At 52.7% G+C, this 14,455-nt stretch overlaps 1 protein-coding gene across 10 annotated transcripts in view, besides 2 other annotated features; it reads left to right on the forward strand.

Annotated features, from left to right (window-relative positions):
- The window catches only part of ADCYAP1R1 (ADCYAP receptor type I), a 59,167-nt gene that overhangs the window by 17,265 nt on the left and 27,447 nt on the right, over positions 1-14,455 (forward strand). For 4 of the 10 annotated variants that reach the window (XM_006715645.4, NM_001199635.2, NM_001199636.2 and 1 more), the window contains exons 4-6: positions 8,419-8,526; positions 11,041-11,061; positions 12,141-12,182. The exons of 2 other annotated variants lie outside the window; for them this stretch is intronic. In XM_006715645.4, coding sequence (XP_006715708.1) covers positions 8,419-8,526; positions 11,041-11,061; positions 12,141-12,182 — 171 coding nt within the window. The remainder of the gene's footprint in view (positions 1-8,418; positions 8,527-11,040; positions 11,062-12,140; positions 12,183-14,455) is intronic. 4 more of the 10 variants (XM_017011736.3, XM_047419879.1, XM_017011737.3 and 1 more) reach the window with 2 other exon arrangements.
- Positions 286-787: an enhancer, noted in NCBI's record as "H3K27ac hESC enhancer chr7:31109473-31109974 (GRCh37/hg19 assembly coordinates)". NCBI's record gives its function as "activates a minimal SCP1, AML or CMV promoter by ChIP-STARR-seq in naive H9 embryonic stem cells {active_cell/tissue: H9 hESC(naive)}" and the evidence as "EXISTENCE:reporter gene assay evidence [ECO:0000049][PMID:30033119]".
- Positions 8,786-9,519: an enhancer, noted in NCBI's record as "H3K4me1 hESC enhancer chr7:31117973-31118706 (GRCh37/hg19 assembly coordinates)". NCBI's record gives its function as "activates a minimal SCP1, AML or CMV promoter by ChIP-STARR-seq in primed H9 embryonic stem cells {active_cell/tissue: H9 hESC(primed)}" and the evidence as "EXISTENCE:reporter gene assay evidence [ECO:0000049][PMID:30033119]".

Consider the following 14,455-nt stretch of genomic DNA (forward strand, 5'->3'; position numbering starts at 1 on the left):
TTAGTTGAATTATGTCTGTGGCACTGTGTGTGTGGCTGGGGGGCTCCAGGGGGATCCAGGAAAGTACTTGTTTCCTTCAAGCCCCTGCTCCTCACTGGTCCTGGGACCTCTACCCTAAAGAGAACCTAGGATGGTGCTGTGCAGAGTGGCCTTCAGAGTGGTAGCCAGGAGACAGATGCACTGAGGGGAGGCACCCATGGTAGCAGGCAGCTTAATGGGGGTGAAAAATAGAGCCCAGAGAGGTGGCCGTGGGGAGTGAAAGCAAGCTTGGAGCCTGCCTTGCATTGTTTGCAAAATCCTTGGCATGTTTTAAAGGTGTTTATTGAGGAGAGGAGGGGGTTTGGAGACATAGTCATTTTGTCCCTTGTTCCAAACCCCCAAATGCTAATGGGATTTAAGCCAATACCAAGTTGGCTCTGTCATATGATGCCCACAGAGGCTGAGGCCAGAGGTGGTGGTCATTGGCCAACCACATTGGGGGCCAGAGCCAGCTCTGGGGTGGGATCCAGGTCTGTTATATCAGACAGGGAGTGCCCTTTCTCCCACAGTGCTCTTGTGACCAGAAGGGAGGGACAAAGGACGCCTGTACCTGGGAATTGGCATCTCCAGGCCACACAGCCCCCAGGCTCCGTTCCTTCTGCAGTCTGCCTGCCCAGAATGAGACCAGCCAGCATCTCCTCTTTGCAGGGCTGCAGGTTTTCATCAGCCCAGAAACCTTCCCTGCATCTAAGCAGGGTTGGTCGGTGTGGTCCTCCATGGGGGTCCCCACACTCTAGTGGAGGAGGAAGAGGAGGCCTGTGGTGGCCATGGCAGGGGCAGCAGAGAGCAGACTTGGAGGGAGGAGGGAAAGGCCTGCTCATTGCTATTCTGACCTGGTCTCAGAGGCCTGCCCAGGGCACCAAATGCCTTGAACCAGTCCTCTCTACGTTCAATAGAGGGGAGAGGCCAAGAGGAAGGAAGCACATCAGGGCTGGGCCCAGGCTTCCCCATCCTTAGAGCAGGAGGAGCTTCTTGTCTGGGCCTCTCAGCTGCTCTGAGACTCAAAAGGCATCAAGCCTGAGGAAAGGGTGGTGTCTGCAGGGACCCTCATGCTGAGGAACTTATTCGCTGTCTGACACAGGGTGTCACTTCTATCCAAACTTGTGTCTTCGTGAAGTCTGGTCATTCTAAAACTTGAATATCAGATCTTCTGTTAAAACACAGATTGCTGGGCCCACCTCCAGAAGTTTCTGATTCAGTAGATCTGGATGAGGCCTGAGCATCTGCATTTCCAGCAAGTTCCCAGGTGATTTTGCCGGTCTGTGGTCCATATCTTGAGAATCACTGACTTCCAAAGGCGAGGGCGGCATCTTTAGTCCTATGCCACCCCCAGCACTCAGCTCACAGTGGGATCCTCATTTCATGGAACAGAAACATTGGCCATAAAGTAAATTTCGGTAAATTGAATTGTTTTTACCCTTAGATTGCATGCTAAAATGGGGACCTTGTTCTAACAATACCTGGGCATCCTCAGGTGGCTTCTCAAAGGGAGGACCATGGCTTTGCCTGAGTCTCTTTGGTGCCCTGCTCTATGGAGTTTTGAACACTGTGGAACTGGACAAAATCATCACCATGACAACCCAGGATTAGCTCCTTATTTTGTTCCAGACAAAAGCTAATAGCTTATGCGTTCTCTTTCAGTCGCTCTGCCTGAGTGGATCCCTTTCCTCCTGCTCTCACACTTCACTGCCACTCCTGGGCACTTTATAAGGTCTTAGGTGGAAGCAGCTAGGGAGAGTGTACGCAGCACTCCCCGACCCACCCCTGGGCCTGAATTCCTCTCCCCATGTCCCCCAGTGGGGGCCTATACACAGATGGAGCCATGAGGCTTGGAGTGTTGTCAGGAGTGGAGAGGTCTCACAGAGAACAGGATCTGTTCTCATTTTCAACCTCTGGAGGACGAAGGGGAGGACGGGAACTTGGCCTGGGCTGCACTCGGCCATCTCCTCCCTGAAACATGTTTTCCTGGCTGCTGTGTCCCTTGCCTGTCCTGGTTTTCTTCCTCAGTCTTCTTTGCCAAGGCCTTTTCTAAATGCTGGCATTTCTGTTGGGGCCCGGCCTATTCTCTCCTGTTTTCTTCCCTGATCTTTGCTCTCTCACTAGAAAAACCATCCATGTCCGTGGACTAAATAGTATCCCTGTGCTGCCTACTCCCTGCCCTCTTCTCCAGTTGCTACTTCTCTAGACTCTAGACTTTTTTCCAGCTGCCTACTTCGACAGCTGTCTCCTCTTGGCTCTTAGCACCATCTCAAACTGAACATACCCCAGACTAAGCTCTTGCTTTCCAACTTGCCTAATTCCCCCAACATCTGGTTCTCACCTGGCCCTTTCCACTGTGGTAAATGATCCATCCATCCATCCATCCATCCATCCATCCATCCATCCATCCAGCCACCCACCCACCCACCCACCCATCAATCTACTTGTTCATCCAGACGCTGAAGCCAGAAACCTGGGAGACATCCTTGGTACCTCTCTCCCCTGCACTGTGTTGGCCTCGACTCTGCAGCAGTAACAAATCAATCTTAAAATCTCAGAAACTTAGCACAGTAACATTTCTTGCGTGCATGTATCATAGGCCAGTGTGATCAGCAGAGGTAGGAGGTGGAGCTCAACTTCACACAGTCATTCAGGGATCCAGGTTTCTACCATCTTGGAACACTGCTACCCTTAACATGTGGCCTTCAAGGGTGGTCCAGAGAAGGAAGAAAGGCAGGCTGTGGAAGCTTATGAGGGACATTTTAGAGGTGGATTCTGCACTTCCACCCTCTCACCATTGGCGTGCCCTCAGTCATGTGATGTGGGTGAACACTAACCGTCTTTTGCAGACTTGCCAGCCAGGTCCAGCCAGTGTGTTGCCAAGCCCTGTCAGCTCTGCTCCCGACTCTGTCTGACACAGGACTCCTCTCCAACCCTGCTGCCATTGCTCCAAATCAAGCTTTTTCATCTCACCCCTAGACTATAGCCATGTCCTAACAGGCTTCCCCATGTCTGCATGTCTGCTATTGGACTATATGATCTTCCCCACACAACCAAATCCAAGTGTGACTCCTTGTCTTAAAGCCTCTCTGTGGTAGGTCGAATAATGCCCCCACCCCGGCCTGAGAGGCCCACGTCATCCTAATCCCTGAAACCTGTAATATGTTACTTTACATAACAAAAAGAACTTTGCAGAGGGAATTAAGGATCTTGAACTGAGAATTTTATCCTGGGTTATTTGGGTGGACACAGAATAATCACATGGGTCCTTATAAGTGAAAGATGGAAGCAGGAGAATCAGAGAAGAGAGACTTGAGGATGCAAAGCTGCTGGTTTCAAAGAGGGAGGAAGGGGCCATGGGCCCAGGAATGTGGGTGGCCTCTTAACTCTGGAAAAGGCAAGGAAATGGATTCTCCCCTAGAACCTCCAGATGAAATGCAACCCTGCTGACACCTTAATTTTAGCCCAGTGAGACCCATTTCAGACTTCTGACCTGCAGGAATATAAGATGATGAGTTGTGCCATTTTAAGACAGTAAGTTTGCTTACAAACTTACAGCAGCAGTAGGGAATGAGTACACCATCCAGTGTCATCTCTAAACATTGAGCATAAAAATCTAAAATTATTAACACAACCCACTGGACTAAGAGCTCTGTGAAGGCAGAGACTGGGCCCTTTCTATTCACTCTTGTATTGCTCTGCATTGTCTGACTCGGTATGTCTTGAATAAATGAGTAATTAAGAGAGAGAGGGAGAAGAAAGTGGGAAGAAAAAAAGATAAAAGGAGGAGGGGGAGAAGAATGACAAAAGGCATCTTGAAATCTTCCAGTCTCAACAAAATTTAGCTTTGTTGAGACTGGAGTGTGGAACATATGGGTCTGTAGAAGCTGGACGTACTGTGTGTGAGTGGAAGGAAAATCAGTTGCTGTTTTTAGTTAGAAAAACCCAAGGCTGTCTCAGGAGCCCAACTCCCATCCTCCCAAGCTCCAGGGAAAGGGGCCTGGAAGGATTCAGCTCCAATCCGCTGAGGCCAGAGCAATTTCCATTCAAAAGAGGAGAGGAGGTGGGAGCCTGCTGGGTCCTCCCATCTGTGCTAGGCTGGGAGGTGGTAACTGCAAGAGAAATGGGCACCAGGGCATTCTGGGGAGCCCCAGGGAGGCAGCTGTGAGTCTCTTGAGACCCCAGCAATGCAGGCTAGAGGGCTGGATGGAGGCCTTCAAGCTCTCGATAGGGTCAGGGACATTGTCTTTGGGTCCTGGGGTCCTGAGGTCTCATTCTAGGTTTCCCACCTGCCCTGGTACTATACGAATTGTCTTTAGGACTCTAGAGGGGGCTCAGGCTGGGGACATAAGGGTTACCAGGAGGGCTTTGAGAGCTGTGGAAGATGCATCCTGAGAGCTCCCAGGCCCCGGCCTGGGGTGGGGCACCTTAGCAGATGCCCTTTAGGCAGCTGTAGCTGCCCCAGCCATCCTCTGGGCACCAGTAGGTCCTGGGTGAATCTCTGTTCCAGATTTGAGCTCTGGTCACTCAAAGCTGGGAGCTCACAGAGACACTCAGTTGTCCCTGTGCACATAGGAAACGTGAATCATGGTGGAGGGGGCGGTGACTGTCCTGAGTCACAAGTGAGCCTGCGGCGGAAGGAAATCAGAACTCAAGTTTTGGGGCTTCCGGTGCTAATGCTGAGTAGAGACCTGCCGTTTCCCCTCACTCTATCCTCAAACATCAATTTCACAGCTTTGTCTTTTTCTCCACCACTGGCCCTGGTGCATAGATGGTCCCTGGCACAAGGTAGGCACTCAGTAAATAGTTGTTAGGAGAATGCATCCCCTGTCCTGCTGCCAACATGAGAGCCCCCTTCTCCCCTTGTGCCACCCGCCCGACCTCTGCAGCCCTCCTCGCCCTCAACACTCATGACCCTGCTCATTCGCTCTGAAGTGGCCCTGTGACCTCGGCAGTGTCAGCTGGCAGCAGCAGCTGGCTGTGCCTGAGCCTAATGTTCTCCATTAAGGGAACATCTGTTGGCTGGGGCATGGGCCAGACGCAGCCATGCTCCACGGCCGTTCCACGGTCAACATGGGCTGCTGTAGCCAAAGATGTGCTATTGGGTCTCTTTCAAGGACATGATGTCACAGCCAAGCACATGCTGGCTAGATGTCCTCTGCTAATGGTTACACAGGAATTATTGATGACTGGCCTACTGCTATTAGACCTGATACCCAGCTCCCCTCATCTGGCCTTTAATGTCTTTGCCTTCTTGGGTTATTCTTCTCAGAGCTTTCTATGGTACATCTGGTTCCCAAACTCTGTCTTTCCATGAGCAGGATGCTATGGGCCAATGTGACTGGGTGCGAACTCCAAAATAGCCGGGTGTGAATTCTGAGAGACAGGATTTTCTCCGTCTAAAAGCTGTGGATACCTTCTGGTCCAAATAGCACTCAAGCGTCACAGACCCCAACAGAGACTGTGAGCTCATGGCGCCTGCTCCAGGCCCCTCCTCTTCCCAGCACCTTCCCAGGGGTCCTCTGGACCTGTCAGCAGCCCTGCCCCAGGCCATCTCACCTTGCAGGTCCCTGCTTTACCTCCCTGCCTATGGAGGCCTCTCGGGGCAATGGTTCCCAGGGACACCTAACTGGGATAATGAAATTAATGATTCTGTCGGCAGTGAACAGGCATTGAATGAGCCTGGCTCTATTCTGAGAGCTTTGCACGTATGAACTCATTAATCCTCACAGCAGCCCTGTGAGGCGGGCACTGTCGGTCACCTACTGTCCCTGACATGGCACAGAAGCCCTCTCCATAGCCTTCCTTTATGATCCCCTAAAAGCTGCAGGCCTCTTTCCTGCAACTCTACTCTGCTGCCTGGCACTCCACACTCCTGCCTCCCCACCATCCTCTGCCACTCTCTCCTGCTCACATCACTACCTGTGCTTCCTCTGCCCACTCCATAAATATGGGTTCTCCAGGGTTCCTTCCTCCATGCTCTTCTCACTTTATGTCCCTTCTCAAAGTGAGCTGTCTCGTCCCATGGCCTCAATCACTACCCACAGGCTGGAAGGAAAAGTGAGTGGCAGGGCCGTAGGTAGGGTCGTAAATACCATGTTAAGGATTGAGGGTGCTAAGAGCCCAGAAAGCATGGGATTGTTGGTGGGGGGCTTGTGACATGGCCAGATATTCATTTTGAAAAGCTTCTGGTCATAGCTGTGTGGGGTTTGTGTACCTGTGGTCTCAGTGAGGGGTCCTGAGCCTCTTCACTGAGTAGGGTGAAGGGATAGAGAGTGGGGCATGGATTTCACAAGGTTTCAAGGTAAAACCAGCAAGGGCTTGATCAGGAGCACTAAAGGGAAGGAGCTGAAGTGGGGTGACTCCCAGGTTTCCAGCTGGGGCTGGAACAGGCAATCAGGTTTGGGCAGGAGATGCTGCACTGAGTCTTGGACTGCTGTGTTTGAATCATCTTTGGTTCTTCAAGGTGGGGGTGTCCAGCAGGCAACTAGCTGTGGGCTCTACCCTCACAGAGTGGGCAGGACAGAGTTGTCCACATGAAATTCTGTAACATCCATGAGCAGGGTGAGCTCATCCAAGGTGGGCAGGGTGGGCGGCCAAAGGCAGGACAGCTACCAGCACCTGCATTCGGTCAGGGCCGCTGGGCGGGACCCAGTAAGGGCTGAAATTGTTCCTTGGATTTGGCAGTGAAGAGGTCGCTGGTGACCTTGGTGAGAGGTGTTTCAGCATTGTGGGAGGACAGAGTCAGAGAAGCAGGGATGGAGCAGGAAGAGGTGGTGTCAGGCAGTGCGGGGAACTCTACAGAGGCTGGCAGGGCTAGAAGGAGAGGCAGGCACCCGGGAGAGGGGAGCCGCTGGGCCCCCTAGACCTGAAAATCTGGTCATAAAGCTTGACAGTTTCCTCTTCCTTGCAGCTCATGTCCAATGAGGCACCAAATCTTGGGGATTCCTCAACACCTCTCAGTTCGTCTGTCCCTTCCTCTCCATCAGTCTGGAGATGCTGTGGGGGGCCTCTGCAGCAATCCCGGCCTCCACCTCTTCTGGTTCCGGGTCCTTTCACAATTCTTGCTTGGCGCGTGCAGGCTTCTGCCTGGCTGGCTTTCCCCTCTTCTCCAGCTGATGAATTTGTGTCCCCTGCTGGGCCTGCCTTGGGAGTAGGTGGGGGGAGTGGAGCAGCAGCCTTAGACCAGCCTGTTCCTGCCCCTCCCCTTAGGGCGGATGGGGGGCCCTGCTGAGGGGGTGGATCTGAAGTGGGACCCTCAGTGGTGGCTGAGGAGGGGCTAGGGTGGGCATGTGGGAGAGGCTGCTGCAGAGACCCCTGCATCTCAGCATCTCATTCCTAGGGATCCAGCCCTGGCCTGCTGTGTCTCCCCTCCCCACACACCTGTGATGTTGTGCAGCTGTGGGGCTGCGGGTCTTCGGGGGTGTGGGGCGGTGTAAAAACAGGTGAGGGCTCCCTCCTTCCCGACCCAGGAGCTCCTGAAGTGCCTTGCGTCTCCATTCCTGTTTGAGGGATATTACCGGTGCAGGGCTGAGCCCTCCCTCAGACTGTAGGCCTTGCCTTTCCTCTCCTAAACCACTCCCGGCCCCCTGCAAGGGCCTGGCTTGTAAGCCGTGGAGCACACCTCAGTGTGTGTATATATAAGTGTGGGTGTGTGTGTACATGTGTGATGTGTGTGTGGGTGTGGTGCATGTGTGCACATTCATGTGTGATGTGTGTGGTATGTGCTTACATGTGTATGGTGTGTGTGATGTGAGTGGTGTGTGTGTGATGTGTATGTGTCTGGTGTGAGTGGTGTGTATGTGATGTGTGTGGTGTGTGTGTGATGTGTGTGTGGTGTATATGTGTGATTGTGTGTGGTGTGTGTGGTGCATGTGTGTGGTGTGTGTAGTGTGTGTGTGTGTAGTGTATGTGGTATATGTGGTGTGTGTGTGATCTGTTTGTGGTGTGTGTAATGTGTGTGTGGTGCATGTGTGATGTGTGTGTGTTGTATGTGTGTGTGATGTGTGTGTTGTGTGAATGTGTGTGTGTAGTGTGTATGATATATGTGTGTGGTGTGTGTGATGTGTGTGTGGTGTATGTGTGAGTGGTGTGTGGTGTGTGTGGTGTGTGTGATGTGTGTGTAATGTGTGTGTGGTGTATGTGTGATGTATGTTGCTGTGTGGTGTCTGTGATGTATGTGTAGTGTGTGTGTGTGATGTGTGCGGTGTCTGTTGTGTGGTGTGTGTGTGATGTGTGTTTGTTGGTGTTGTGTGTGTGTTGTGTGTGTAGCATGTATGTTGCTGTGTGTGGTGTCTGTGGTGTGTGTGGTGTGTATGTTGGTGTGTGTGATGTGTGTGGTGGTGTGTGTGTATGGGTGTGTGTGGCTGGCCCCTCTCACCATGGCTGTCTTACCCACAGGCTGTCCTGGGATGTGGGACAACATCACGTGTTGGAAGCCCGCCCATGTGGGTGAGATGGTCCTGGTCAGCTGCCCTGAGCTCTTCCGAATCTTCAACCCAGACCAAGGTGGGTTTAGCCCAGTCTCTTTAGGCCACGCTGGCCTAGCCTGCTCCCCAAATTCGGCCCCAGGCAAGCACCAAGGACAGGGAGGCCACCCTGTGGGCAGACAGTCCCTGCTCCTGAGCTCACATGTGGTGTGGGGGATGAAACCACAGACACTTGCACACACGGGGACACAGGTACACATGGGAACCATCGTTGTGGATGAAAGCAAGGCTGTGCCCTCACGCGTGGGATCCATGCCAGCTGTCACTCACCCTCCAGCCCAGGTCCCTGTCTGTCAGCTGGGTATGTGGCCCGGTGGCCCCCTCCCAGGGTGCTTCTGTGAGGGTAATGTGAAGCGATGCTGTGGACGCCACTTAGCACAGGACTTGGCGCGCTTTGAACGTGCAGTAGTAAATGTTAGCTGGGATAATTGTCACCATCCTCCCACAGCCACAGATCCTCAGCGCCCAGTGGGAGGCATGGAGAGAGACGCACATGTAGACACCCCCCTCAGGCAGAATGAGACGCGTGGGGAAGGCAGCTGGACACAAGACACCCACGTCCACATGCAGAGCCACTTAGACGCAGGCACAAGGCCCGTTGGGGCTGGCGCACACTCACGTTTGCTCAGCAGAGCATTTTCTGGGCCCTAGCTGCCCTCAGGCAGTTACACGGGCTCAAGATGGGAGGAGCTGGACCTTGGGCTACCTGGGGAGAGGGTGCCACACACGGGGAGCAGTGCCACAGTGCTGTCGGTGACTTGTGGACGTGGGCTTGGAGGCGCGGGTGTGCGATGGCGCCTCCCTGAGAGGGAAGGCTGGGTGGGTGCGGTGTCCTGCAGACCTGGGTTTGGGGCATATCTGTGTTTGAGGTCTCTGAGGGCCACTGAAGTGCTGTGGAGATATCCAGGGGCCACCAAAACGATAGAGCAGCCCGTGAGTGGGCAGAGTGGCTGAGCTTTGTGCACAGGTGGGATGTAGGGTGAGGGCAGGGGAGAGAAGGCGATGCTCTACCCACAGGCAGAAGCCCTGGTAGCCCCATCTCCATTGCAGGGGGTGTCTGAGGGAAAGGGGTAGCTGTAGATGACTTCTTTGGATATGGGTCCCTTGGGCTCTTCCAGAACGGTTCCTGCCTTTCGGCTGGGACCTGTGAACTCCTCCATGGGCCTTCTACCCCATCCCTGTGAGTGTCACAGGAGGCAGGGTGGCCAGCTGAAGGCACTGAGTTGGGGCTGGGCAGGGAGAGCTGGAGGGACTGGCTCCAGCCAGGTGACTTACTGAGCCACCTCCTGGCCATCAAGCCATGGGCGGGGGCTCCCGAGGGTATCAGAGGGATCTGAGTTGTGTGTGGCCATGTGACCTGGCCTTAGCGTTCTTCTTTTCCAGCCTAAGGCTTAGGCTGATGTCCTAGAAGGGGCGAGTTTCCAGGCTCCACTCCAGCACTGAGTCCTGCCTGCTGCAGTCCCCTGTCTTCTCTGAGAGGCAAAAGGCAAATTTGCTAATTTGCTGTCAAACCTCGAATTCCAATAACTGACTCTGTCCTGGAGGGGGAGGGGCTTGCAGGAGGTGGCAGAGAAAACAGTGGCCTGTGTTGGGGGTCCCAGGTCCCCCCGTCTCTGGCTCCCACCCCAAGGTTTGTCTAAGATGCACTGCACTCTGCAGCAACACCTCCACCTCCAGACCACCGGCCGGCCCGGGAGGAGGGTGGCATTGAACTCTCCCATCTGAGGGCCTGGGGATTGGGTGTGACCTGAGCAGTCCAGAGTGAATTTTGAAAGGGGATACAGGCAGCGGAAGTGCTGGAGTGAGAGATACAGTGGGACTGGGGGGCAGTCAGGCATGGTGGCAGCCAGTGAGTGATTCAGCCTGATTTCCAATTCATTCCTGTAGAAGCCAACTTAATCACTTCCTCCATTCATGTATTTCTTTCGTTCCGTCATTTATTTAAAGTTTGTTTATTGAACATCTACTCTGGGTCAGATTCCATGCCAGACTCCGTCTTCTCAACAACGAAAGGCAAAATGAATCAATGGTAAAATAAGATTTTCTTAAGACACACTTTCCTCCACACTCCCTCCTTCCTCTGGCAGTGGCACAATGAAGGTGTTATTTACACCTGATTCTTAATGGTTCATTAAGGCAGGGCCTTTTAGCACCTCTGTTCACAAAACTTGATTGGTGAGACTTGCCTTGAATACTTTGCAAGGAGAGAATGGGATTCCTGTGTTTCTTCTCAGTTCCCAGGTAGCCTGTTGTGATGACTGTGGCTGTGTAGGATATTGGAGAGACTGGAGATGTGGGAGCACGGATCTCCCTCCTCCTCTCAAATGCCTCTGCTTGTTTCTGTTCTGGAGGTCTCCAGTGTCCCCAGCTTATAGTCCTGATGCCTTCTGGGTCCCCCAGAGCCCCTCTTTAATGTTTGGGGTTGGGAAGGAGGAGGAAGTGATCAGCAAGACCCAAGGAGAGCAGCCCCTGACTTTTCTCACCCCGCTGCTCACCTCTGACTTTTCTCTCTCTCTCTTTCTCTCTGTTTCAGTCTGGGAGACCGAAACCATTGGTAAGAGGAACCTTGGTGAGGATAGACCGCTGTCTTTCTGTCCATCCAGCAGGAGCCCAGCCTCAGGAGATCCCAGGCTCCGGCTGCTGGGATTGGGGTGGGGGTGGAGTAAGAGGCTCACTGGGTATCAGGTTCTTTCCTCCTTCCTTCCTCCCCTCTCCCCGACCTTGGCCATTCTGGAGGTCGGGGGGCACAGGAAGATGCACAACACAAGCACGACCTCAGGTCCCTCACAGGCTTGTTTGGGAGGACAGGACTTACCAATGGAGGGGCTAAGAAACAAGCTCACGCATGAGTGTAGCTGCATATATGTGCATATGCCCAGACCTGAACATGTGCATCAGTCCATGCAGATATTGACATCCCTGACAGCTAAGAAGCCGGAATGCACAGTGAGCAAGAGAACAGAAGAGCAAATGATGCAGCATGCAGGCAGAATAGTGAAGAAGTCAGGGGAGGCTTCCAGGAAGAGGTGGCATGTCAGCTGGACCTTGGGAAAGGAGTTTTGAGAAGCGGGGATGGGGTGGAAATGGGGTCTCATTGCTAACAGGGGGTTTGGCATAAGAAAAGGGTGGAAATGGGAATAAAGGGTAGGGAGAGAAGAAAAATTGTCTGAAGATGAAGTCTTCTGGATTCCCTTTGACGGAGAGCAGTTTTGGAGGCTGAGGTGGAGGGTCGAGCACCAAAAAGGAAACCCCAAGCCCTGGGCCCACGTTGCTGTGGTTTGCCCTTTTTTTGAAAAGGCCCAACCATCCCTTTTCATTTTCTCCCATTCCTCTCCATTCTGGAGGCCCTCCCATCCTCCTGGCAGTGCCCATTTCCATTACCTGTGGTGGTGGAGAACTGAGTCCTGGACCATCCTGAACGTCACAGAAATGCAAAGCAAGTGAGAGTGGTGTTAGAAGGTGTAGTGTGTGAGAAAGGTGCGCGGCTGCTATGTGTGATATTGCCTCTTGGCCAGGACTCCATCCCCTACTTCCTGTAGACCAGGGGTAGCCTGAGCCTTCCAGGGTGGAGAGTAAACAGTAGCTAACTGTAAGCCAGGCATTTTGATATATGCCTATGTCTGTATTTTTCAGGAGAGTCTGATTTTGGTGACAGTAACTCCTTAGATCTCTCAGGTAAGGGGTTAGGCTGGGGTTGACCATGGACTGGCTGGAGGGAGGGCGTCTGCTGACATGTGAGCTTTGAGAACCCCATCCCAGGCTGGGCTCTGCTCCTCTGTGGCTGTGTGATCTTTGGCAGGTGACTTTTTTTCTCTGATAAAGGTACAGATTATCTTCATGGAAAAGCACACAGATAGAACATCGTGTGTAGAATTTCAGGGGGGCCACAGATGTCTTAGAGTCCCTTTGTGGACTTCAAATAAAGAGCTCCTGGATTGGATGATCCTTGACTGTTTCTGAACTCCAGCATCTAGAACAGTAGCTCTCAAACTTTAACCGTGCATCACAGCTACCTTGTGCACTTGTTAAACCCAGGTTCCTGGCAGTCTCTAATTTATTCCGCCTGGGGTGGGGCCTGAGAATGTGCTTGTCTCGCCAGTCTCCCAGGTGATGCTGATGGGCTGATCCGGGACGGGCACCCCTTCGGGAAACGCTGCCCAAAAGTTTCGTGTTCCTGTGCAGTTACTGGGGCGAATCAGCCTAGTGAAGTAGGCACAATGACCGCGGGGTTTTGACAATCTCAAGAGCACTCCATCTTCCGGAGATTTCTATCAGAACAATACAGTGGCAAATTCACAGAACAGTTCTGAACAAAAGGGTTTATACTTCTCTGAGCCCACACTGTGTTATAAAAAGGAAAAAAAGAAAGAAGGAAAATAAAAGAAAGGAAACCGCTTTTCCTTCTAGAACACTGTTTTCAAAAAAATTGTTTTTCAAAGCAGCTTCCCTTTCCTCTTCCCACCATCCTGATGTGAGCAAAGCAGAGAGGAAATGAGGCCCAGGGAGGGGAAGGAACTTGGCCACGGTGGTGATTTCCCTGGGACATTCAGACTTTCTGAAAGAAGTGTTCAGAGGGACTTAAAAGGAGGTTGCCTGAGACAGATTTGCTGGAAGAAGGGACAGTTTGGCATCAGCTGTGGGACAGAAGTGAGCTCCTTTGCTCTCTCTGGGCTTGCCAAACTTCCCCCTTAGCCTGTGCCGTAGAACTCAGAGCTGGAGAAGGACTGTTGGAGTCTCCCTGTTGTGGGCAGAACTCTCCTTTCGGGCAGAGTTACCCATCCCAGGAAGTTCATTTCTGACTTTCTTGGCTAAAGAGAACTGGCCTTAGATCTTCTAATGCAGGAAGCGAGGGACACAGATTGGAAAAGTGGAAGGATCTCTTCTCTTGGCCTCTGCCTCCCACAGAGGCTGACCTGCTGCCCTCCTTGCCTCTTTCCTGAGCTCCCTGGAGGTGGCCTTGGCCACAGAGGGGAGGTTTCTGTCCAGCAGTATGGGTACTGGAGCCCCTTTTCTGCAGGTGTCTCTTGTTTTATACAATGTCTTGGTCTTTGAATGCTGTGAAGGGAAGAACCAACCACATGTGTCCTGATAGACCGGGTACGCTCCCAGTGTCAGGCGGGGGCCACACTCAGGTGCTGGGCTGGAGGAAAAGGGAGCTGCTTGCTCACCCCCCTGCCCTGGACATGAGTGGCTCACCATTATAAACCATCGGGTGAAGGGAGAGTGAAAAAGCAATCATGAAAGACTAACATGGCCCTGGGCAGGGCAAAAACCAGCCTGGACTTCACTGTGCAGCCAGCAAATGACTCATTTAATGGCCATGACTGATCCCACCCCCTCGAGTGTCCCACTGAATGGCCTTAAAGTCAACCAAAAGCAAATTAAAGTACATTAGTGACAGGAAACAGCCCTCCCAAACTCTGAAAGACAACACTTTAAAAGAAACCCAAATATATATCTTCGTAAGATCCGGCCCTACGTTAGTGGAAATCTGGACCTTGTTAATGAAGCAAGCCCTGTGTCCCCTTGATGTGAGATGTTGCAGCTGCTGTGAGGCTTAGAGCTCTGAGGGAAAGCATCACATCAAGCTGTGTTCCCAAGGTGTGCCAAGGACCCCACCCACACCCTGCAGTCACCAGAGGGGATTCCTGAAAGTGCCCAGATCTCCTGACAGAGAATCCCTAAGGGCAGGCCTGGAATCTGCATTTGTGATCAGTCTCCTAGGTGGTTCTGCACACTGACATTTGAGAAGTGCTGATCCAGGGCCCAGGGGAGGACTCAGGCCCATCCCTGATGAGCATTTGGAAATGTTCGAGAGGGGAGGGATGCAGGGATGCTGGATTCAGCTGGCGCAGTCTCCCCATCTTTGGTTGAGATGAGCTTGCTCTTTGTCTCTCCATCCCTCTGATCAGCAATCACTGATTTCTGAAACCTTTCCCCATGCTTCC

This window comes from Homo sapiens, chromosome 7 (assembly GCF_000001405.40).
Source record: "Homo sapiens chromosome 7, GRCh38.p14 Primary Assembly".
Taxonomy (NCBI): domain Eukaryota; kingdom Metazoa; phylum Chordata; class Mammalia; order Primates; family Hominidae; genus Homo; species Homo sapiens.